General features: G+C 40.2%; 1 long non-coding RNA gene and 1 other non-coding gene across 5 annotated transcripts in view; both read left to right on the top strand.

Annotated features, from left to right (window-relative positions):
* CCDC26 (CCDC26 long non-coding RNA) overlaps positions 1–22961 on the top strand; it is a 328546-nt gene that overhangs the window by 187452 nt on the left and 118133 nt on the right. Inside the window, exon 2 of one of the 4 annotated variants that reach the window (NR_130917.1) lies at positions 12098–12145. The exons of the other annotated variants lie outside the window; for them this stretch is intronic. This is a non-coding gene — a long non-coding RNA (CCDC26 long non-coding RNA). The remainder of the gene's footprint in view (positions 1–12097; positions 12146–22961) is intronic. 4 annotated transcript variants of the gene reach the window in all.
* MIR3686 (microRNA 3686) lies at positions 8646–8731 on the top strand. The gene has a single exon (NR_037457.1). It is a non-coding gene; the product is annotated as a microRNA 3686 (primary transcript).

Genomic DNA, 22961 nt, shown 5'->3' with positions numbered 1-22961 from the left:
TATTTGTCCTAATGCTCTCCTTCCCCTTTCCCCCCACCCCCTGACAGGCCCTGGTGTATGATGTTTCCCTCCCCGTGTCCATGTATTTTTGTTGTTTAACTCTCACTTATGAGTGAGAACATGTGGTGTTTGGTTTTCTGTTCCTGTGTTAGTTTGCTGAGAATGATGGCTTCCAACTTCAACCAAGTCCCTGAAAAAGACATGAACTCATTCTTTTTTATGGCTGCATAGTATTCCATGGTGTATGTGTACCACAATTTATTTATCCAGTCTATCATTGATGGACATTTGGGTTGGTTCCAAGTCTTTGCTATTGTAAATAGTGCTGCAATAAACATACATGTGCATGTGTCTTTATAGTGGAATGATTTATAATCTTTTGGGTATATACCCAGTAATGGGATTGCTGGGTCAAATGGTATTTCTGGTTCTAGATCCTTGAGGAATCACCACACAGTCTTCCACATTGGTTGAACTAATTCACCCTCCCACCAACAGTGTAAAACCATTCCTATTTCTCCACATCTCCAGCTTCTGTTGTTTCCTGACTTTTTAATAATCTCCATTCTAACTGGTGGGAGATGGTATCCCATTGTGTGTCACTTCTAAGATTAGGTTACAGGAAGACTGTGGCTTCCATCTTGCTTGATCCCCTCTTAATCTTGCTCACAGGCTCCTCATGCAAGAAGCCAGGTGTCATGGTGTGAGCTGCCCTAAGGAGAGGCCCATATGACTAGGAACTGATGTTGTTGGCCAACAGCCAGTGAGGACCTGAAGCCTGCTAACAGCCATGAGAATGAGCTTGGAAGTGGAGCCTCCTCCAGTCAATCCTCGAGATGACTGAAGCCTGGGCATGACTTTTGATCCACAGAAACTGAGACAATAACTCTTTGTTGTTTTAAGCCACTAAGACTTCAAATAATTTGTTATGCAGCAATGGATAACTAAGACATATATTTTAATGCTTATAATAGGGGTTTCTTGTTAAAACCTGTTACCTAATCCAGTCTACTATGTACTTTCATTCTTTCTGAGTCAGTGTTCTACATGAGGCAGAAACAGCCCTCAGTGGGAGACAGAAGACTCAAGATCTAGATGTTGTCCTGACAAACAAGGTAGTCTTTGTTTCCTCAGCTGGAAATTAGATTGTCAAAATTGGCTGTACACTGGAGTCATCTGGGAGACTTTTAAGATTATTGAATACTAGGTTCCACCCATAGAAATTCTGATTTAATTGACTCGGGCATTGGCATTTAAAAAAATCTGTCTGGGTGATTCTAATATGCAGCAAAGATTGAGAACCACCGCTCTAATACAGTTGTTCTCAAAGGATGTTCCCCCAGCCAGTAGCACCAGGATCACCTTATGAACTCATTATAAATGCAAAATCTCATACCCCTTTTCAGATCCATTGGTTCAGAAACTCTGAGGTGGGGCTCAGCAACTTGTGTTTAACAAGGCTCCCAAGTGATTCCAATGTATTCTGAAGTTTGAGGCTCACCTCTTAGCCGAGATGATTATGCAGGATTCTTCCAGTTCAAAAGTATTTGTCTGTTTTCCTGCTCTGGGAACGCCACATCAGTCTCTCGCACTCAGATCCCATTCACTTACAGTGTATGGCCTATCAAATTTCTAGCTGTGTATTGCTGTTGCCCTAAACTTGAAAATCCAGGTGCCCTGAAAGCTTAGAATTTTCCTGATGTAATAGTTGTTATCAGTCTGTTAACTGGTGATTCAACATGGTTAATGTTGCAGGGCTGAAGTTTCCAAGAAACCTAGATTGGTATGAACCAGGTAAGAAGTATTTTATTTCTATTGAGGGTACTTTCCCACAGATATACCATTCTGACATCACAGAAGACTCATGTGTGCTTTGAGGAGCCCGGAATCTTCTGATAGAAAAATAAATAATATAAAATAAAATAAAATAAATAAAGTTTGAAAGACAGAGGAAATGAAAATAGAGGTAGATACTGGGACCAAAGAATTTGTCAGTTTGATATAAACTTATCAGATTCTTCCCAGTTTCCCTGTTTGTTCAAAGTTGATACTTGGTTTATTAGTATAGGAAAGATAAGACAAAAATAGTCCAGGAAGAGACATCTATACCAGCTGTGATAGGAGAAGGGATGGTTGTGGTGATGATAGGGCCGGATTTTGATGAATCACCAGGTTGGTTAACTGTTTAGTCACTTTTCATCAGTTTAGTCAATCCCTTCACTTTGACCAACTATATGAATTCACCTATTACATATTAGATCTCAAGAAGAAATCTGCACTTTGATGGTTACTGGTTTTTTTTGTTGTTGTTGTTTGTTTTTTGAGATGGAGTCTCATTCTGTCACCCAGGCTGGAGTACAGTGGCGTGACCTTGGCTCACTGCAACTTCCGCTTCCCCGGTTCAAATATTTTTTCTGCCTCAGCTTCCCAAGTAGCTGGGGTTACAGGCATGTGCCACCACACCTGGCTAATTTTTGTAATTTTAGTAGAGGTGGAGTTTTGCCTTATTGGCCAGGCTGGTCTGGAACTCCTGACCTCAGGTGATCCACCCACCTTGGCCTCCCAAATTGCTGGGATTATAGTCATGAGCCACTGAACCTGGCTGATGTTACTGTTTTGCAAGCAGTTTTTCATAGTAGTAAAAGCAAATAATATTTAAGTTCCTTGAACTCAAGTGTGGGTTAAATTGACATTTACAGAGAAGGGCTCTGCTACACACACACACACACACACACACACACACACACACACACACGTCATCTATAAACATTATATCAAAATTGAATGCAGCACTTTTCAGGAGTCTAAGTATTCTGGTGCCATCTTTTTGTATGTACATTTTATCTTGTATGTATATTTTTCTAACATATACATATATGTATTTTTATCTGTTTTATAATGTTTATATTCATTATTTGGCCCTCGACAGATATGTAGCCAAGGTTGGCACAATAGAAATCATAGCTTTTGTTATCTAGCATAAACAACTTGATTGGCACTTGGCAGTAACTCAAAATCTTCACTTATATTGCTTCTAATTCTTATAGATCTTTCCAAAGTAATTCTTATTCCCATTTTATAGATATATGAACTGAGGATCGGAAAGGCAAAGGGACTATCTTAAGGTATTGCTGCAGATACTGGGGCAGATATTGGATTGGAAACTAGATTTCTTAGATTCCGAAGCTGGGATCCAGTTCTACATGCTCATCATACAACATCATGCTGACAAAAAAAAAAAAACACAGAGAAGTTAAGTGATCTCGAATCTTGCAACACTTCCGACCCTTTCCCTGTTCCCCTTTCTACTGCCCTAGTTTCACATTCACTCCCTATCATCAGGGATAGTGTTATTTACCCATTTCCCCATCTCCAGGCACTTGGTCTCCTAGTCTCCTTTCTTCTGAGATGTTGCTGCAGCAACAGTCAATGCCAGAAGACAGTGGAGTAAAGTCCATAAAGTTCTAAGGAGAAGAACTTGAGCCAAGAAGTTTAGAATCTGCCAATTTGCCTTCTAAGTAATAAGGCAAAAGGGAGACATCTCCGGCATTTGGGAACTTTTGGAATACAGCATCAATGAGTACTTAAAAAAATTCATTCAAGTGTTTGTTTCTTGATAAAAATCCAACCAAACTAAAGGCCCTAGGAGGAAAGAAGCCACTGTAAAAAGCCTGGCTCTTGTATTTTTCCTATTTCCTAGAAAGTTTTAAGATCACTGGACCACCCTGTATAAATATTCCACACTCAAATACTCTTCTCTCTTCCTTCTTCACCTGCTTTATTTTTATTGATAGCATCTATCATTGCCTGACATACTTTATATGTGCATGTATGTGTGTAGACAGAATATTATTTTTTATTGCTTGTCTCTCACCATAAGTTCCATGAGAGCAGGGACTCTATTTTATTTGCTCTGTTTTATTCACCACTGTATACTCATGATGTTAAATAGCACCTGGCACATAATGGGTGCTCAATTATATTGTATACATTTAAAATATAATTTAAATGGTATATAGTTATAGTTATCATTTTAGAGTAAAATGCAAATTCTCTAAACACTGACAAATTGAAAATAGTAATATAGCTAATAAATGTGGGAGGAAGGGAAATGAGAGGTGAGAAACTAAGTAATTATGCCAGTCCTCTGTGAAACCAAGGGTACAACAAAACGTTGAATGTTTAAATAGCTTCTTATAATATATTTTGTAATCTTTTATTTCTTGAACTTTAGAGGTATCGGTCACAAATTAACAAACGTTTCAGGTAAGAAACATTCAATTTAGCAGTTTATTTCAATTTTTCTTTAGTTTCTTTTTTACCATATTACATTTAAATGAACTTAAATATAATATTTTTATTGGAAATAACACTTATAACCCCATTGTTGTCTTTAATACCTTCTATCAATGTATTTGTATGTCTGTGAACTCTCCTTTCTTTTTCTTTTTGAGATGGAGTCTCGCTCTGTCGCCCAGGTTGGAGTGCAGTGGCATGATCTAGACTCACTGCAAGCTCTACCTCCCGGGTTCATGCCATTCTCCTGCCTCAGCCTGCTGAGTAGCTGGGACTACAGGTGCCTACCACTACGCCTGGCTAATTTTTTTGTATTTTTAGTAGAGGTGGGGTTTCACCTTGTTAGCCAGGATGGTCTCGATCTCCTGACCTCATGATCTGCCTGCCTCGGGCTCCCAAAGTCCTGGGATTACAGGCGTGAGCCACTGCGCCCGGCTATCCTTTCTGTTTCTATGTATAATAGAGTGGTAACTGAATTGATCTTCACCAAAGCCTGGCAATGCTTATTTTTAGGTGATGTGATGCTGGGTGGTTTTTTTAAAAAAAACTAACTTCTTTATATGTAGGTCAGTATGACTTGTATTTTTAATACTTAGTACATAATTTCTTTTAAAAGGAAAGACTAAAGTCACTATTTTAAGACAGCATGATTATTTCATCTATTTCACAAATATTTCCCAGGCAGTGAGCACAGGAAAAGTACCATGTCAGTTGCTATGGACGCCTGGTGTCCCAAGAGGATGGCAGTCTCATGATGTGAACACATGGTGCTTTTTTACATTTTCTTCCATGAGGTAAAAACGTAATCATGCTGCGGTATACCAATCCATGTTCATAACAATGGTCTTAAATGGCCAAGAAAAACAAACAACGGTTTTTTTTTTTTTGGCAAATGAGTGTGCAAAGCATTTATCACCTATATCTCCTCTGTCAGCTCCATGACGTGCAAGCATCATTTCAAATGGCTGCAAACTGCTGCTCAGAGACACCCATACCTCGGGGTCCCCCAGCTATGAAGTGGCAAAGCCAGACCAAAGCCCGTATTTTCTTACTCCAAATATTATGTTCTTTTCTTATACCCTGTTTTAGTATGTGGGAAAGTTTATGGTATGTTTTACAATGTTTTCATAAAAACAAAAAAATATTGCTAAGAGAAAAGATGACATTTCAGTTGTCTGAAGAACATATTTATGCTGAAGACCTCATCCCTGGTGTAAATGGAGCATTATTATTATTGCCAATATAGTGCTTCCTAGGCATCTCTTCATTAATTTCACACAGTCCTATGAGGAAGGTGTCTGACTGGTCCCATATTACAGACAAATAAGCTAAGGGTTGGAGAACTCAAGGTCAGGGAGAGGACAGGCCAGAGCTTGGATTCAAACCCAGGCAATCTGACTCTGGTACACACATCTCAATCACTGTATTTTCTTACCCCCAGCCAAGAAAGGAGGAATGCATTATTCAAGTCACACCTGTGACTGGAGGTTGCAGACTAAAACCTCAATGAATTATCTCATTCCTCTTACTCTATGGCTTTTTTCAACCGATTCCGTTGCCTGGGTTTGGAAACACATTCCCAAAGCTGGCCCTTAGTCTGCTTTTGGTTACAGTTCAGAATCTTTTGATTTTCTGTCCTAGGACCAGTGTTTCCTACCCCCAATAATTTGTCATAGTCCTCCTCATCACTTGAATGGCAATGACTGAAAGTGGACCAAACCCGAGGCCTCTGCATGGTTTTGCACTCTGGAGAAATGCGTGCTGCATCAACAGATGTCCTTACTGCAGCGGGTTCCCAATGCCTCCCAGAATGAGAGAGCCTTATTTGGAATGTACTGATTTGCAGTGCTTCCTGGCCTCTAGGCACAGATTAAATGCAATTACACAATTTATTACTGTATAAACTATTATTTACCTGGAGCGTTCCAAACAATAAACTCTAAATTTAATTCCCCAAAGGTCAAAAACAATTTTTCTTATCCTTGCAAAATGTTTAATCACCGTAGAGAACGGAACTCGTACAGATGGGGAGTAAAGTGAACAGGGAAAGTAACTGGTCAATCTGAAATGTGAATTGATTAAATTTCTGGTTTTTAAAAAGCCCATAAGAAGTCTGCAATAGGGAAACATCATATTGGACAAAAATAATTGTGTTTGTTTTATTTATTATAATATAATTACTTATTTTACTATTAAGTTTAGATCATGTATTTTAACATGGGTCTATGTAACAGATGAGGAAACTGAGGCCCAATTAGGTGAAATGGCACGAAGGGAGCCTCAATCACACTGAGAAGCTCCACATCCAGTTGCCTTATTGTTAGTTAGAGGAAGCTCTGTGCCTCCTGGAATGAGTGAGGGATTAAGGAGAAGAGTATCCACTTTGGGAGCCCGAGGCAGGCGGATCACAAGGGCAGGAGATCAAGACCATCCTGGCTAACATGGTGAAACCCCGTCTCTACTAAAAATACAAAAAAAAAGGAGAAGAGTATCAAAGAGAGGTCTTTTTCTGAAAGGAAATAATGAATTCATGTCTCCAACTGGAGAAACCTTTGAGCAGGAACGGCAACAATGGAACATCTGTGCTGTTCATTCTCTTATCTCCTGCCTATGACAGCCACTGCTAAAACACTATTCTTTCAATCTCTGTGCAAACTCAGAATCATTCTTAACCAGTTCTCCAGTTATGTTATATGTATAGTACTATACATTATATATATAATACATGGTATATATTATATTTATACACCATATATTGATATATAGTATCAATATATAATATATAACATATAATATTTACATGATATATATAACATAATCTATGATATATTACATTTAGCATTACATATATTATAGATAATATATAATAATACACATATAATGTATACTATATTATGTATATAATATGTATAGTATTATATATAATACATATGTATATGTACATATACATGTATATACATATGTGTGTATATATACATATACATATGTATCATATATGATAAATGTATACATACTATATATGTATATACTACATATATGATATATACATTTATATTATGTTATACATAAATATATAATATATAATAATATATACATATGTAATATATTACATATATATATAAAATACAGTCAGAGACAGCAGGTGAAATTTTCTTGCAACTGGGTCAGAGATTGAGTAACTATTATTTACCTGGAGTGTTCCAAACAAACTCTAAATTTCATTTTCCAAAGGTCAAAAACAAATTTCCTTATTCTTGCTTCTTGGTCAACCCCTACACACAGTGGTAAACATTTGTTCCAAATTCTTCCCTCCTGGTCCTTGGAAGGCTGCTTCAGCCTTTGGCATTTGTTTCTGGATAGCCACGACTGGCTTTGTACTCCTCCTGTGCCCTCCTGGCTTTCTGCACATGTTATATCTCTGACTTTCAGCTTTGAGGAAGTAGAATGCTCCTTCCCTTTGGAGAGTCACTGCTCTCCTTACAGACCCGCACACTCAGAGGACAAACCTGCTAAGCCATGGAAATACTCTCTCATTCTCTGCAGTACTAGAGAACAATAAAAGGGGGTGAACAATGGGCATGGGCAACAGCATAGATAAATCTGAAAACCCCCAGGCTGAGTGAAAGAAGCAGATAACAAAAGAGCACATACTGTTTAATTCCCTTTCAACAAAGTTCTGAAAAATGCAAACTACTTTACATAATGAGGATAAACCAGATCATTGTTTTCCTGGGGAAAAGGGAAGGGCAGGGGGAGAGTCCAAAAATGGGAAGGAGAGGAGGAAGGTGGGAGGAACCTTTTGGATTGATGATTTTCCCCGTAATCTTGATTGTGGTGATGGTTTCACAGTGGTATACAATTGTTATTGTCTGATACTTTCGAATTTTGCTTTTAAGCTTTTAAAGGCAAGATAGAGTGACAATTTATCTATTTTTCATTACGTAGCAAAACTATTCTGAACATTTTACCCAATACTCCGTGAAGTATGAGGTTTTCCACTTAGGTTACTGGAAAAAAGAATTATTCCTGGTGCCAGTGTCGTGGCAGGGAATGTTTTCTCTAATCCTTGTTGGTGCTTCCCCCCACCCTCATCTCATAAAGTCTCTGCACGCATGTGCTGATTAGTGCACAGCTAAAGACTCAAGGAGGACTCTGTAGAATCTCTGGTGCCTCTGTTAGGTAGCTCTCTTTGTGGTAGTGCTCTGTTCTTCAAACTTCAGCCATTTTGGTTTCCTGCATTCTCAGATCCATCATCTCAACTCAGTGGGACCACCCAGCTCCATGGGGATTCCTCTCCCTGTGCTGTGGCCTGGAAACTGTCTGTGCGGTCAGCTGGGGCAGTCAGAGGGCTCACCTCATTCATTTACCTTCTCTTACAGATCACTTTTCTGCACTGGACAGTGATCTGTAAGAGAAAGTAAATGAAAGAGGTGAGACTTAGGTTCAATGTCTCAAAAATGTTTCATGTGTTTTAAATGCTGGCTTTTTAGTTGTTTCAAGGGGAAGGTAAATCTAGTCTCTATTACTGTATCTTGACCAGAAACACACATATGCTCTCCTTTTGGATTTATGAAATGGCTTGGGCCATTTGATGAAACATCTTCTGTGGATTCTTCTCTCAGAGTTCAACTGGAACTCTGAGATATTTTCTCATTGGGCTGATAGCACATCTTCTCCTTTCTTGTTTGCATATGTGGTCAGAGAAGGCAGTTTGGACATTGCACCAAACATCTCCCTTGTCTTATGGCTGATAGTATAAGGCAGTATTCTCAAACTGAAGGTCTGTAGACTAAATCTAACCCAAAAATGATGTGTGTGTGTGTGTGTGTGTGTATGTATTTTTGCCTGCACAGTGATTAAAAAAGACCAAATTAGTTTTAAACATTAAAACACTGGACTTTTCCCATGGATATCTGAATTCCTGTCTTCTCTTGAAAAGTCAGAAGACCTGATAAATTTGGCTCATGTTCCCACAGAGTACCATTTATCAAAATACACTAGTGGCTTCCCCCTTTTGAAAGGCTGTGCACGCTCCACTTTCACATAGGCTTCCTCAGGCACCCACCTCTCATTTCTATTACTCGACTGGCCCCAGAGGCATGAGGATCTGTGGCCCTTATTGTAGAGATCAAGAGCACAGACTTTGGAGTTCAATTCTCTTCTCTGGCATTTTGATGATCTGACCAGAGTTCTTTCTCTTTCTGCAACTATTGCCCATGCTTCTATAAATGCTCCCCTTCTCCCTTCCTCCTTCCCTCTTCCTCCTTCCCCCTTCCCCCTTCTCCCTTCCTCCTTCCCCCCTTCCCCTTTCCCCCTTCTCCCTTCCTCCTTCCCCCTTCCCCCTTCCCTCCTCTCCTCCTTCTTCTTCTTCTTCCTCTTCCTCTTCCTCTTCTTCCTCTTCCTCTTCTTCTTTGCCCCTTATGTCTATTCTCTACCCTCTTGTGGCCAACTGTCTTGTGGCCAACTGGTCTTTTATGTATTTCTTTTTTTTTTAATATAAAAAGATTCATTGAATCAAGCTATGACAGTTTTTTAAAGCTATTTTAAACTGTTTTAACAACTATATTGAGCTATAACTTACATGCAAGAAACTACACATAGTTAAAGTGTATAATTTTAAATGTTTGGACATAATATACATCTGCAATCACGATAGTGGATATAGGTCAGGCACAGTGGCTTACATCTGTAATCCTGGCACTTTGGGAGGCCAAGGCAGGCAGATAGCTTGAGCTCTGGATTTTTAAATTTTTTTTTCACATCCAATCTCCCTTTAAAAAGAATTTCTTGAGAATATGGTACATATACACCATGGAATACTATGCAGCTATAAAAAAGAGCAAAATCATATCCTTTACAGCCACATGGGTGCAGCTGGAGGCCATTCTCCTAAGCAAGTTAATGGAGAAACAGAAAACAAAATACCATATATTCTCACTTATAAGTGGGAGTAAAACATTGCGTGCTCATGGACATAGAGATGGCAACAGTAGGCACTGGGGACTACTAGAGGTGAGAGGGTGGGGAACAAGGATTGAAAAACTAACTATTGAGTATGATGCCCAGTACCTGGGTGATGGGATTATTCATACCCCAAACCTCAGCATGCAATATACCCAGATAACAAACCTGTAAACATGCCCCCTGAGTCTAAAATAAAAGTTGGAAAAAAAAAGAAACAAATAAAAAGATATTTATATAGACTCAGTAAACCACTATTATTTCTTGTGTGCAAGTGCTTTGTACCAAGAGAACTCAGAAGCCAGAAGCCACCTTAGGTGACAGTTTATGGGTCAAGTTCCTATTCTTGGGGCACTGGGTTTTGTTCAGTGTTGTGGATAATATGATCAGCTTTCTTCAGAAGAGACTGGGCTTGCCAGGTAGTGACAATGTAATAGACTACTGCATCACATTCACTTAGTTTCCTACTTAGCCCAGATTGTGCTCAAGCAATAAGTTTTCAATAACGATGATAACAAAAGTCATAATAATTGCCCCAGTAATAGCTACTCTTTGTCAAGCACTTATGCTTTTCCAGGCATCACATTAAACACTTTACACAAATTAGCTTATTTTATCCCCGTAATAATGCTAATGATTATTGACTTTATCTCTCCCCCCCAATTTCAAGTATGGGAAAACACTCTCAGAGAGGTGAACTGACTTTTCCTAGCTCATGTCACAGTCAGGAATAAAATTCAACCCCAGAAAAGTCTGATTCTGAATTTATTTTGCAATGGAAGAGAGTAATCCAATGACCATCAGTAGGGGCATGTTACGTGGAACAAATCTGTGAGGTGGGACTTATTTTCATGTTGTAGAACCTCTGATGGAAACTAGGGAGGGCTTTGGAACCAAAAGTGGAAAGGGCAGGAAGGGCGTTCAGTGGAATCAAAGTGGCTCCCAGGAAAGGCAGCTGTTTTACATCATGGAAACAGTAGAGCTTCCGGTAGCACCAGCAGACGCGGCTCCCAGCCTACCACTCACATTCTCCACAACCTTCTGAGAGTTCCTTAACCTCCATGAACCTCAGCTTCCTTTCCTTAAAATAGAGAGAGCAATATCCTGCTGCAGTGTTAATGATGCTCATGAAAGGTAGTCTGTGTGAAAAAAAGTTTAGCAGATAGGGTGTTTTGTAACAGTCAAAATATAGTTTATTTTGAAGGGCTTTTTGGAGGATGAAAGGGGCTAAGACATGTCAATTGCCTGGAACATAGTAGACACTCAATAAGTGAAAACCATTCAGGGTCCAAATCCCATCTCTGCAGTTCCAAAATCCAAAATCCAAAATAGAAAGTTGGATGTCAAAATGAATTTTGGGGGCAAAATCTCACCTGGGGTGATGTGAGGCTACCTGTCTTACATAAGTTAAATTTGATGATGAGATTCTGTGAAACATACAGTGTATATATATCATGACATACAATGTATATATACCGTGTCATGTCTCCAAGGTCTGAGAATGTCTGAATTCTAAAACTTCTCTGGCCTCAAAGATTTTGGATAAGGGATTGTGGACTGGTATTACTATTATTATTATTATTATTATCATCCCATTTCCAGTTCCCTGTTGTTTTATGAGTCCTGGTAGAAATAGCACCTGCCTTGTTTAAGCTTATTTTCCCCAACCCCTAACATAAGTGCCAAGGACAAGGATGGTAATTTATAAATAAATGTGTATTGATGAAATAAATACAAGATTGATGAGAATCTTGGTGATGAAGAAAATAAAAAAATAAAAATGGATTCCCAGGGAAAGAGAGAGGAAGAGTATGCTTTATTTTTCCCTTTCTTTTCCTAGGCCTTTTAAAGGACCATGGGCTGTTTGAGGGGCCAACATCATTAACTGGTGAGTGGGGAGGAGGGGCTGGAAGCAGCCCCACAATCCTGAAAAGGCTGCTCAAGGAGCAGAGCTGGCAGCAGCTCTTGTGTGCAGCGATTCCATCAGGGAACACAATTGCCTTTTTTGGAGGGCTGGCTCAGACACAGCTGGTGTTACAAGCTTTGCAATCCTAATGCAAGGAAAAGCTGGGAAAATCCCACAAAGTGAAATTGTATCTGCTTGTGGTCAAGTTGGGACTCCAAATTTGGACAGTGGAATTTGGTGGGAAAATGTGAAATGCATCAGGGGTTATATAGTGAACCTAAGATTTATCGCTTCGGCAAGTGGCTATTTCCAGAAGAACTAGCAAGTCATGGTAATAATTCTGTGACAGAGGAGAAGGGGGAGGGACCCACAGCTTACTGCTGATGTGATCAACCTGTGAAAATCCTTGAGCAAATGGAAAAGTCAAAGTTGTTCCATGATGCCCGTCAGATCACTGCACACCAGTATGTATATGAGGATTTAAAAAACATGAAGTCAGTTGATTAGAACATAAAATACTAGAGGTAGTCAGAGCAGTTGGACTAGTTGCCAAAATTATATGTTTCCAAGCCTCTGTTTTAAAGCTATTTAAATGTATCCCAGAGAGAGAGTTGGAGGCCAGAGGTAGCCAGCTTAAACCAGGGCTGGCTCTTAACTGACTGCCCAGGAGTGTTTAGGGCAAAGCACTGCAGTGCGAGGCCATCTGAGAATGAAATATAGCACAGCTCAGCTCCAGTCTAGCTGTGTGATGTTGGGCTTGTCAGGCAACCTCTCTGAGTCTCAGTTTCTAACGTGTAGAACGGTGTCCCTAATGTCTGCCCCAGCTCTTTAGGGGCAAATATAATCACGCATGTGAAAAACCTTGTCAAATGCTGTTCTGAGGTACCCAAGAAGGTCCTGGGGAGGCCACCATCAAAATAATCTTCCCTTGGTGTTAGAAATTTCCTTATGATGTTAGCATTATTAAGCCAGAGGTTATTAGCTCAGCTACTGGCTAAATTTGACTCATAGCATTTAAAAATTGGAATATATCATATAACATTTTGGAATTCTGTTTTTTATTGAAAGATTGTAAGCTCTGGAAACACTGGTCATTATTGCAGTACAGCAATACACAGACTCAGTGTCTGGAAAAAAATGGGGGAATGTAGCAAGGATTGGGTGACCCCAGAATGTATTGCAATATACCAGAAGGATCCCAAGTCAACTGGTTTAATCTTCACTCATTAACATAATCTGCTTAGTCCATGAGGAAGTTTGAGTTTTTGACCCCTGTTTTAAGGTACTTAAAGACCTCAGTTAAGATGCCAATGATTTTGGAGGATGTTAAAACACTAGACAATTATAAAGCATGGGGGTGGGGTCACAGATACAGGAGGGAACAGTAGGAGGGAAGCCTACTTTTCACCTGGAGGCTAAAATGGGCTGAAGGATGAGTTTTGTAAATGGTTTATTTAAAATTCTAAACAGCAGCTGCAGATTGCTGACTAGGTGCTGGGTAGCCCACTCCATCTAGGCTTGGACCCAAGGGAAGCGAAGGGAAGGGAAGGGGAGGGAAGGGAAGGGGAGGGGAGGGGAGGAGAAGGGAGGGGAGGGGAGGGGAGGGCAGGGGAAGATAGGGAAGGGATATATTTTGTATTATCTTAATATCAGGATCTTATCCAAGAATTTGAAGACCGTTAATACTAACCCATAGAAACCTGCCATTCGTTGCTGCTACCTACATATAAACAAACACCTTGCCCAACTTCATCCAACTTCTCTGTGCTTTTCCCCAATGCCTTTCTTGTAAAAATTGTCTGCTTCAGAGGTTCTGAACCACTTTTGTTCTCTGGACCTTTCTGGTAGTCAAATGAAGCCTATGGATCCTTTTTTAAGAATAATATTCTTATCAAATAATATCTATTACCTAATAATCAAATAATATCTAATATCAAATAATACCTATTATAATAAATGTGAAATGATATTTAATATAATATGTATCATAATACATATGCATTATGAAATTCAACACGAACCAATTATATTTTAGTATAGGTATGAAAGATATATACTTTTTTTTTTTTTTTGAGGTACAGGAGAGAAGTCTCACTCTGTCACCCAGGCTGAAGTGCAGTGGGGTGGTCTTGGCTCACTGCAACCTCTGACTCCTGGGTTCAAGCTATTCTTCTGCCTCAACCTTCCAAGTATCTGAGATTACAGGCACTTGCCACCACGCCCAGCAAATTTTTATATTTTCTGTAGAGACGGGGTTTTGCCATGTTGGCCAGGCTGGTCTCAAAATCTCAGCCTCGAGTGATCCACCCACCTCGGCCCCCAAAGTGCTGGGATTACAGGCATGAGCTACCGTGCCTGGTCCAAAATATTTTTAAAAGAATTTATGTTATAGTAATATGTGGACATCTTTATTAATGTATCAAACAAGACTGGCAACAAGTTTAGTAATTATTATAATTTTGAAGTGGCAATAAGTTTAAATGACATTATTTTGTGGTGTTTGTAATAATTGTAATGTGATATAAAAATACCTGTGATTTCCATCAATGATACAGTTACTGTTAATAGTACTTTGGTTTTTTGCTTACATTCAAACTTCAAAGAAATGCTAAATTTCAGTTAGAGGTGAATGAAATGAAGATGTAGTTATTTTCCCACCTAAGTACAAAAATTCTCTAAATTCTCTCCTTAGACTCCTCTCTTCTTTCTGAGAGTTAAGACTATGGGCTTTAGGGCCTGTGTTTGTAACTAGTGCTATTATTTCTAGTCATCACCATTTTCTCATCTTTAACAAGTAACAGCAACCCACGTACTAGGTTTACATGAATCCAATGTGAAGAATGGGTGTTAACAATCTGCAGAATTCACAGTTGAACAAAGGTCTGAATATGTGAGTCATCTGACCTGGTTTATAGTGGGATCCAGCTTTACTTTAATGTATAATGACCTCAGAGAACCACAGATAAGCAGCCTGGATCTGGCTTGATGGTTTTAGTCACAGGGAGTCAGAAGAAGGCTCATTTTGCAACAGGCATTCTTGAGCCTGAGAATCAGAAATTCTGGGCATGCCTAGTGTGCAAATGGATAAGAAACAATTAGCACAATGTTTGCTTTGTTTTGTTTATTTTAGAATCTTGTTTTTCTTTGTTCTTTTTGTAGACTAGAAAAAGGAAGATAATGTGTGTGTGTGTGTGTGTCACACACACTCTGGATAATTGTGGGAGACCTAGGGTGAGAAGATGGCTTGGTGTCCATTGCAGGAATCAGTGCCTGCCCCAATATTGAGACTCATGAAGAAGCACTGTGTTAAGTCTGCCTGGGCTGCTGTAACAGAATACCACAGGCTGATGGCTTTCTCACAGAAACCCATTTATTTCTCACAGTTCTGGAGGCTGGGAAGTCCAAGATTAGTGTGCCAGCATAGTCAGGGCCCTCTTCTTGGTCTATACGTGGCCACGTTCTTGCCATAGACTCACATGGTTGAGAAATAGATCATCTTTCATATGTGTCATCTTACTAGCGTACTAATCCCATTCTTGAGGGTTCCAACTTCATGACCTAATCACCTCCTAAAGGTCCCACCTCCAAATACCACCACATGGAGGGTTAGAGCTTCAACAAATGAATTTGGGGGAGGGAGACAATATTCATTTCATAGCAAGCAACCAGGAAGAAGCTGAAGGGATTGCTCTGAGATGAAGGTATACAAATATCTTAGCTTTATGTCCTGAGTTTTCATTCTTGGAAAAGAAGGTAATGGTGGCAAGGACTGTCGATAGAGATTGAGCACCATGTATGTTCCAGATGGGTACCACTCTGTGCGTTTGTATACATTTCCCCATTTTATTCCTTATTCCAGCTGAGTGAAGTAGATTTTTTTCTCACCCCTATTTTAATTAGGAAAAATAGGAGACATGGAATAATCTGCCTGAAGCTCTCAGCTGATAAATGGTAGGAAATGTGAGCAGTGCAGGGTAAAGGCATTTTTTTCGCCTGGAGATCCACTAGTGCATACAATGCAGCTTTCCTCTGGTGCCTTGAATGCCAGCAGCTTCAGGAGCATTCAGAAGCAGCCCCCTTCCTTAGGACACCACCACTCTTGCCTGGGGTGCAGGCAGCAGGTGCAGGGGTGAGGCATCCCTGGTGATTCCACATCCAGCAGACTGGGTGAAGGCACCTGCAAGGGGTAGAAGGAAGCAGAGATGCCATGCACAGTGGAGACAGAGACATTCAAGAGCAGTCCCTCTGTCATAATTAGTAAGCTTCTGAATGGGGCTGAAATGTGGTGTGAGCAAGGAAGGAAGCTGAACGAGGTATGAGTTATTAATGCTCCTGTCATCCCATCTGTACCTGGGGAAAAGAGAGGCCTGGAGAGATTAAGTCTGCATACATTTAGAGCCCATGCTATGTGCCATACCCTAGCTTGAGCACTGCTTCAGACGTATTTGATTTCATCTTTAGAACAACACTACACAGTAGATATCATAGCCCCCAATTCACAGATAAGGAAACTGAGGCTCAGAGAAATAAAGTATGTAGTCCGTGGTCCAGTGTGTAGTAGGCAGAGAGAGGACAAGATGTTTACAGTGATAGGGACAGAGCGTGCAGGTGGTTTTCTGCTCAGCAGTACCTACACAAAGCCCTGGTTTAATGATGGTTTCCCAGAGTAGTTATGCAGTAGAAATTCAGACTCTGTGAGTGGCTGGCTGGTTGTGTGTGCGAGTGAGTGTGTGTGTATGTTTGTGGGGTGAGTAGTGACAGCTTTTTTATTCTGCTTTATGTTTGCTGTTGGTTGTATTTGTCAACATACGTGGCTCCCTCAGCATATGACTGCTCCCCCATGGAGCTAGCATCCTTCTGCTGCCAGGGGATCTGCTCAGGGTCACCCCTGATGAGTGGCAGGATTTTAAACAGAGTACATTTGGGCTTTGCTGTGCATTCTCCGTCCTCGGTGCTTCCTCCCTCAGAAGCAGCCAACTCTTCTTCCCCTTCATCCATTTATATTTTTATCTCCTTGGTGTTGCAGCCACACCTTCAGTGCTTCTTTGTTTTACTTTAAGCATTAGAGGACCCATTTTTGCCCACTGGCCTCCTCCCTAATGCCTGAATCTGTGTGGCCATCACCACGGCTTTAGGGAGCACTGGAATGGAGACAGTAGGATTTAAATTTATGTCTCACAAGCTGTGAGGTCTGAGTTGGCTCCATTGTGACAGAGCAGTTTAAGTACTGACTTACTTGATTCAGTCAAGCAACCAGCTGACTTTCTGAGGCTAAACAATTTACCACTATGTAGCCAACACATTTACTGAGTACTGGTTTTATGCAGATACTGTTTTAGGCAATGGGAAAGTAATAGCAAATAAAACAGATAAACTCCTGTTCTTATGGCACGTACTTCGTGATGGAGAGGCTGGAAAATAAATACGTAAAATACCCTGTGATAATTAAACTTGGCTAAGCCATGTTATTCAGTTTTCAGTCAAATACCAGTCCAGATGTTGTTGTGAAGGGATTTCTTTTAGATGTGAGTACCATTTATACCAGTAGACTTTCAGTAAATCAGGTTATTCTTGATGATGTGGGCAGGCCTCATCCAATCAGTTGAAGGTCTTAAGAGAAAAGACTTGGGTCGCCAAAAGGAGAAGGAATTCTGTCAGCAGATTGCCTTCAGATTTGTGCTGCAATATCAGTGCTTTGCTGGGTCTCTGACCTGCCAGCCTGCCCTGAGATTTTTGGACTCACCAACTCCCACAGCAAGCAAGCCAATTCCTTAAAATGAATCAATTATCTGTCTCTCTCTCTCTTTCTCTCTGTATATGTATATATACACATAGGTATATGTATATGTTGTATATGTTTGTTTTTCTGGAGAATCTTGATTGATACATGTGCGTGTATGTGTGTGTGGTACCAAAATGATATGAAGATCAATAAGGCAGAACAATATGATTGGGGGAAGAGTGATACTTTAGATAGGGTGATCGTGAAACGTCTTTCAGATGGAGTAGCCTTTGAGCAGAGATCCAGGTGAAATAAGAATGAGCCTTGTGAAGCTCTAGGAGAAAACTGCTCTCTATAGTCAGAATAGCAAGCACCAATACCTGAGTGTGTGCATGCTTAACATGTTCAGGGAGCAGCAAGGAGGCGGCCATCGTGGTTGGGATAGCTTGAACAAGGGGATCAGTGATCACTGATGGACGCTCTGGTCACAGAACCTGCCATGTTAAGGGACTTAGCAACTTATTCTAAGTGTGATGGTATCAGATCCCAGGGTCCAGGTCCAGCCCATGCTGAAGTCCAGAGGGGAGTGGGTTGATGAGCAGAAAGAACACTCCGGGGGCCGTGAGCAGGTGAAAGATGATTTTATTTAGCAGCAGCTCTCATCAACAGCTTTCTCACACTGTCCACCTTTATCTCAGCTGTCTGCTCTGGCTCTGTGGCTCCTGCTGCCCCCCACACCTGCAGCTGCATGGCTGGCTCTCCCCTGCCTTCAGGGTCAGCAGCTTAACTCTTTCTCTGGGCACAAGCAAGCAGAGCTATGCCCTGGCTCCCTCCTGTCTGTCCGCAGGATGGACAGCTTTGGCTCTCTCTCTCTTTCTCTGGACGCCAGCGTGCCCACCATGTTAAGCTGAGCTGAGCCCCGAGATCCCCTGTATAGCGTTAGCCGGACGGTTACACCTTTTACGGACAACAGTGGCTTAAAGCCAGGTATGAACTTACACAAACAGGTTATATAACAAGTGGAGGTGTGTGCTTGTGCACCAAACTCGCTGAGTTATGCAGGCCTGGATGTCTGCCTCAGCCTATTCCTTGACCAAAGCACATCCATGTACCTTACAATGATCAAATGTCACCTGGGTGCAAAGTCACCCCCAGCTGAGAACCACTGGCCTAGGGTGTTGGTTTTGGAGCGGTCAGAGGAGTTGGATCTGAGTAAGATTTTCCCCAAACTAAACAACTCTTGTATGGTACTTATTGCTATTTTTACATTGAATCAAAAGAATTTCATCCTCAGTTTAGAAAATCTTGAAATTAAAAAGAAACAAGAAAATCACTTATAAACCATTTCCTTGAGGAAACATTGATAAAATATTGATATTCAGTATTTTCTATACACATGATAATTATAATATTAACAGTATTTCTTGAGCATGTAGGTCTTTGGCTGGGGTTAATTTATTTCCCTGACTAGTAAAACATTATTCTATATTAGTTTCCTATGGCTGCTCTAACAAATCACCACAAACTTAGTGGTTTAAAACAACACAAATGGATTCTCTTACAGTTCTGGAGGTTACAGATCCAGCCTTGGTCTCACTGGGTTGAAGCCATGCTGTTAGCAGAATTAGCATTCTTTCTGGAGGCTCTGGGGGAGACTGTTTTTTGACTTTTCCACTTTCTGGACGTCTCTACTTTCTTTGCCTTATGTTCATCTTCAAAGCCATTAACAGTGGGCCTTTCTCGTATTGCACCACTCTTCCTCCCTCTCCTGCACCCTCTTCCGTGTTTGAAGACCTTTGAGATAACTTTGGGTCCACCTGGATAATCCAGTTTAATCCTCCAGTTTAAGGTCAGCTTATTAGCAACTTAATTCAGCTGCAACCTTAATTCCCCTCTTGTCATTTAACTTAACATATCCACAGGTCAATGGGGATGTTTTTGGGAGGGCATTATTCTGCCTGCTGCGATGACTGTCACCATTTATGTATGAGAAAACTGAGACTCAGTTAAATAACTTTCTGAGGACACAAACTTCAGCAATCTGTCCAGTAACCTTAACCACTGCACTATATTATACACACAGTTTTCCCTTGTAATACTATATTGCAAGCATTTTCTCAAGTTGATGACTTCATAGTACTTCACTGCATATGTAAGCCACAAAATCTTTAATCCTTTTTCTATTTTAAAGTATTTAGATTGTATCCTACATGCAAATAATGATGAAATATACATCTTCATACTTATTTTTCCTCCGAAGTTTGAATTTTTTTTCTCACAAGTCAAATTATTGGGTTAAAAGTCATAAAAGCTTCAAGGGCTGTGGATACACATGGTCAAATTGTTTTCTAGAAGGACTGTTGCAACATACAGTCTTAGCTGTGCCTGTTTTTCCTCTACCCTCAACAATTTTTTAATTAATTTTCTAGCAAAAAATGGTCCAATTCTTTATCCTAATATGTTTCTGAAATAAAAATATTCCTATCACTATGCATCAACTTTTTTTTTTAAAACAAACTTTGTGTTTGTTTACAAAACAGTGTGTCATGGGAAAACTAGCTAGGCCCCAATTCAGCATCTAGTCACTATTAATATAGGTGCACAAAATCTGCTATGTCATATTTCAATCTTAAAAGTACCTCTGAAAACAAAGAGGTTATTTTTTTTCAATGTGGCAGTAAAACTCACCCAATTCATTGGCAGCAAAACCTGAGCTGAACTGACATGAGGATAATTGTGGTTTGAATATTTCTGTTACATTAATTATTCATGTTTCACTATGAAAATATTGATGCGGTTTCCCAGAGAACTGTCCACTGGGGATTTGACGTAATATATGGCATTTGTATAATTTTACCTTTCTAACATCTGAAAAAATGCTGAGTCCTGAAACATACCTGGCCCTGAGACTAAGACCTGTAGGGTTGTGTGGCCTGAGCCTGGCATGTGCTTGTCTGGGGTGCTGAGCATGGGGATAAGGATTTCCACGGTGTGATAGTTAATTTCATGTGTCAACTTGACTGGGCCCCCAAATGCCCAGACATTTGGCCAAATATTATTCTGGCATGCCTGTAAGGGTATTTCGGGATAATTAACTTTTGAATTTGTAGAATTTGTAGACTGAGTAAAGCAGATTTCCCTTCTTTTTTTTGAGACAGAGTCTCACTCTGTTGCCCACGCTGGAGTGCAGTGGTGCCATCTTGGCTCACTGCAACCTCTGCCTCCTGGGTTAAAGCGATTCTCCTGCCTCAGCCTCCTGAGTAGCTGGGATTACACGTGTGCACCACCACGCCCAGCTAATTTTTTGTATTTTTAGTAGAAGACAGGGTTTCACCATGTTGACCAGGCTGGTCTCAAAATCCTTACCTCAGGTGATCCACCCGCCTTGGCCTCCCAAAGTGCTGGGATTACAGGCATGAGCCACTGTGCCTTGCTCTGAGAGTGCCCTTTTTATTGTAGGTGTTCTTAATTTAATCCATTGAAGACCTGACTAGAACAGAAAGGTTGAGTAAGACGAAACCCCTCCTGCCTGACTGTTGAGCTGGGACACTGGTCTTTTCCATCCTTTGAACTTGGACTCAAACATTGAGTCTGCTTGGATCTGGAACCTGCTGGCTTTTGGAATGGAACTGCACAGTTAACTCTCCTGGTTCCCAGACCTTCAGACTTAGACTTGAACTACACATCTCTCATGGTTCTCTCGTTTGTCAGCTGCAGACCTTGGGACTTCTCAGTCTCCATAATCTCATGAGCTGATTCATTAAAATCAATCAATCCATCCCTCTCTCTCTCTCTGCTCAATTGAAGCAGGGCTGTGAAGGCCAGGAAAATGGTCGCCAGATCATTTCTACCCTGATCATGTCTGCAGCTGACTAGAGAGAGAGCTGAGTCAAAGCTGAACAACCATACTTGTGAGAGCCTAGTGACACATACATACTCCTGGCCCACAGTTGGCAGGAGAGGCATCTCTGCACTCCTGGTGACACACTCTTCATGCCCCATAGGAGCAAAGGAAACTTTGCATTTGAAGCAATGGTGTTTAAAGACTTGGTTCCACAGCCAGAGCACCTGATTTGAAGCTGAACTCTGCCTTTTACTAGCCACGTGATTTTGGGAGAGTTAGTTAACCTTAAGTGCCTCAGTTTTTTCACCTGTGAGATAGGGACCATGATATGACTTGCCAGGCAGAGTATCTGCAATGTTTCAATGACACATGTAAAACACTTTGAACAGTACCTGAAACATATTAGGCATTCAGAAAATCATAAAGATTATTATTGTATATCATCAATTCTAAGATACATTTTTTTCCTCATTTTATCATTTCTATAATGGTTTATCTTTGCCCATTTTTTCGTATTAACATTTCTGAAATTGGAAAGCACTTAAAAATTGATAGAATCTCAGGCACAATGAGATATAGTATTATTATTTGGGTTGTTCCAGGATAAATCATGCAGGGAGGCAGTGGTTAGGTACTGTATTTAAGCTCTTATGAACTACAGAAAAGAAGGATTCTCTCTCTCTCTCTGAAATTCCATGTTTAATCCTAAACTTCTATTGTTATGTATAATTATGTCCATATATCTGTATGTATGGATACACAGATACAAAAGAAATAGATATAGCTGACTATATAGCCATGTCTATATTTGGAGAAACTAGACAAATATTTTAAAAACAGTTTTTTTTTGTACCATGAATTTCTGGGTAAAAGTTAACTTCTAATTTATACTATGAACTTAGTGCCTGGTACATAGGAGGCATTCTATAAAAGTTTACTTAGTAAATTAGATGAATTATTTTTAAAAATATTCTTTCCTAATGAATTTGTAATAATTTTTACTTGAAATTGTCATTTAAATAAGTCTATTTTCAGACTTTAATGACAACCTTATTAAAAATACTCAACCTCTCTTTTCCAGTTATCTTGGCCATTCCTTTTTTTTTGAGAGAGAGAGTCTCGCTCTGTCACCCAGGCTGGAGTGCAGTAGTGCAATCTCAGCTCACTGCAATCTCTGCCTCCCTCGTTCAAGTGATGCTTCTGCTTCAGCCTCCCGAGTATCTGGGACTACA

This window comes from Homo sapiens, chromosome 8, assembly GCF_000001405.40.
Source record: "Homo sapiens chromosome 8, GRCh38.p14 Primary Assembly".
Taxonomy (NCBI): domain Eukaryota; kingdom Metazoa; phylum Chordata; class Mammalia; order Primates; family Hominidae; genus Homo; species Homo sapiens.
This window is presented reverse-complemented; position numbering and strand designations above follow the sequence as displayed.